Below are 3,181 nucleotides of genomic sequence, written 5' to 3'. Positions count from 1 at the left end.
ACCCTTCCTGGCCTCTGGTAACCACTATTCTACTCTCTACCTTCATGAGAGCTACTTTTTAGCTTTCATATATGAGTGAGAACATTCAGTGTTTGTCTTTCTGTGCTTGACTAATTTCATTTAACATAACGGCCTCCAGTTCCATCCATATTGCTGCAAATGACAGCATTTAATTCTTTTTTTATGGCTGAATAATATTCTATTGTGTATATATATTACATTTTCTTTATTCATCCATCCATTGATGGGCACTTAGGTTGATTCCATATTTTGGCTATTGTGAATAGCACTGAAATAGACATGGGAGTGCAAGTATCTCTTCAATATATTTATTTCCTTTCTTTCGAATATATACCTAGTAGTGTAGTTGCTGGATCATATGGAAGTTTTATTTTTAGTTTTTTGAGGAACCTTCAAACTTCTCCATAATGGTTATGCTAACTTACATTCCCACTAGCAGTGTATGAAGGTTCCCCTTCCTCCACATCCTCACTACCGTCTATCATTGCCTGTCTTTTTAATACAAGCTATTTGAACTGGGGTGAGATGACATTTCATTGTAGTTTTGATTTGCATTTCTCTGATGGTTAGTGATGTTGAGCAGTTTTTCATGTACCTGTTGGCCATTTGTATGTCTTCTTTTGAGAAATGTCTGTTCAGATCTTTTGCCCACTTTCTTAATCAGATTATTTGATTTGTTGCTATTGAGCAGTTTGAGCTCCTTGTATATTCTGGTTATTAATCCCTTGTCAGATGGATAGTTTGCAAATATTTTCTCCCATTCTGCGAGTTGTCTTTTCACTTTGTTGATTGTTTCCTTTGCTGTGCAGAAGCTTTTTAGCTTGATGTAATCCTCTTTGTCTATTTTTGCTTTGATTTATCTGTGCTTTTGAGGTCTTATATAAAAAATTTTCCCCAGACCTGGAGCATTTTCCCATGTTTTCTTCTGGTACTTTCATTTTTCAGGTCTTAGAGTTAAGTGTTTAAGCCATTTTGATTTGATATTTGTGTATGGTAAGGAATAGAGGTCTTGTTTCATTCTTCTGTTTATAGCTATCCAGTTTTCCCAGCACCATTTATTAAAAAGACTGTCCTTTCCGTAGTGTATGTTCTTGGGATCTTTATTGAAGATGGGGTGGCTGTAATTGTGTGGAATTATATCTGAGTTCTCTGTTCTGTTCCATTGGTCTATGTGTCTGTTTTTATGCCAAAATCATGCTGTTTTGGTCACTATAGCTTTGTAGTAAATTTTGAAGTCAGGTAGTGTGACATCTCCAGCTTTGTTCTTTTTGCTTAGGATTGCTTTGGCTATTTGGGATCTCTTGTGATTCCATATAAATTTTAGGATTTTTTTTTTCATTTTTGTGAAGAATGTCATTGGTATTTTGATAGGGATTTCATTGAAGAAACCAATTTTACCATAGACCAATGTAAACAAGAGTTAAGTTCCTATGGCATATTTCTGGTCTCAAAACCCACCAAACTTCTAAATAAAGACCAAAACACTTCTAACAGTAAACATTGAAATAAATGTGAGCTACACATACATTTAAAAAGATAAATAAAAACAAATAAGAAGAGTTACCCAATTATAACAATTCAGGGTTTCAGGTGGCCAAAGTCCAGCCAGGCAGCTCAGAAGGCAGGAGCCAGCCCCAGCCAGGACGCACTCACACACACCCACACCAACCACACTCACATCCCATGGCAGGGCGCACTCACACACACCCACGCTTACTCACACTGGGATACGCCAAAGAACCTAATGTGCATAATCTCTGGAATGTGGGAGGAAAGCGGAGTGCCCTGAGAGAACCCCTGCAGATATGGGAAGAACGAGCGAACTCCACACAGGCAGTGGCCCCGGCCAGGGATAGGTTTTTTTCTCATCAAACTTAGAATGAACTGACTATGTGATTCAGGGACCTGCTGTACCACCATAAAGCAAAATGTTCACATCATGGGAGTGTGAAGGACTGGCTGGCTAACGTCAGCCTGGGAACTCCTTACTCACTGTGCTGCCGTGCTTAGGGTGGGTTCCCTGAGGAACAGACTCTGAGATGGAGATCTGCTTGCAGGAGGCTCGCTGGGACTGCTCTCAGTGAATAAAGGAGTGGAAAGGAGTGAGGGAAGCAATACGGTTGCAACAGAGGCCTCCACTGGTCCCACAGAAAGTTCTGGAGCTGGGGTGGCCTTTCAAAGTTGTCTCCGGTCAAGGCAGGGAGGCTGGGCCTTTGAATACCCACACTGACTGATCACTGGATATGAGCTGCACCCAGGGAGGGCACATAACCTTGGGGGAAGCTCTCTGTGGCTGACGGAGACTCCCACAGAGAAACTAAGCTGTGAGCTTTGAGCAGTCAATATGTGCTGCTTGGGCAAAGAAGGCCTTAGTCCTGAAGGGGGAATTTGGGGCCCTGCACCACAGCATCTGCTATTTCATTTGGTAGTATGGGAATTAATTCCTCAGTGTATTCAAAACTATATAATATAGTAATGAAACCCAAGCAGCCCCATCTATTTGGAACACATCTTCCAAAAAAGACAGTAAAACATGTCTTTGAGCAGATGAAATATATGTCACCAAGTCTATGCACCACAGTCAATGAACTTTATTCATATGGGAGTCTCTGCACAAGAAACCAGGCAATAATAATTCCTATGCCCATATCCAGTTAAAAATAACAAATTAAAAGTGGTTCCAGGTATGGTGGCTCACACCTGTGATCCCAGCACTCTGGGAGGCTGAAGCGGGAGGACAGCTTGAACCCAGGAGTTCAAGACCAGCCTGGGCAACATCATGAGGCCCCATCTCTACACAAAATAGAAAGAATTAGTTGGGTGTGGTGGTGCACACCTGTAGTCCCAGCTACTAGGGAAGCTGAGGAGGGAGGATCGCTTGAGCCCAGGAGATCAAGGCCACAGTGAGCTATGATTGCACCACTGCACTCCAGCCTGGGCGACAGAGTGAGACTCCATATCTAAAAATAAATAAATAAATGAATGAATAATAATGATTATGTCTTCAAGAAAATGGTATTCTATACATTTTGTTTATAAGGGAAAAACAAATTTCAGATGATTTCCTTCCAGAACAGTTAATTTTTTAAAAGCTTGACTGCTTATTCACAGCCATCCAGAAAACTGGGCTATCCAAACTGCACGCCATTCTCTGAAAGTT

The 3,181-nt window shown here is 41.1% G+C and overlaps 1 annotated feature.

Annotated features, from left to right (window-relative positions):
- Positions 1,914 to 2,642: an enhancer, noted in NCBI's record as "NANOG-H3K27ac-H3K4me1 hESC enhancer chr3:12265535-12266263 (GRCh37/hg19 assembly coordinates)". NCBI's record gives its function as "activates a minimal SCP1, AML or CMV promoter by ChIP-STARR-seq in primed H9 embryonic stem cells {active_cell/tissue: H9 hESC(primed)}" and the evidence as "EXISTENCE:reporter gene assay evidence [ECO:0000049][PMID:30033119]".

Source organism: Homo sapiens, chromosome 3 (assembly GCF_000001405.40).
Source record: "Homo sapiens chromosome 3, GRCh38.p14 Primary Assembly".
Taxonomy (NCBI): domain Eukaryota; kingdom Metazoa; phylum Chordata; class Mammalia; order Primates; family Hominidae; genus Homo; species Homo sapiens.
This window is presented reverse-complemented; position numbering and strand designations above follow the sequence as displayed.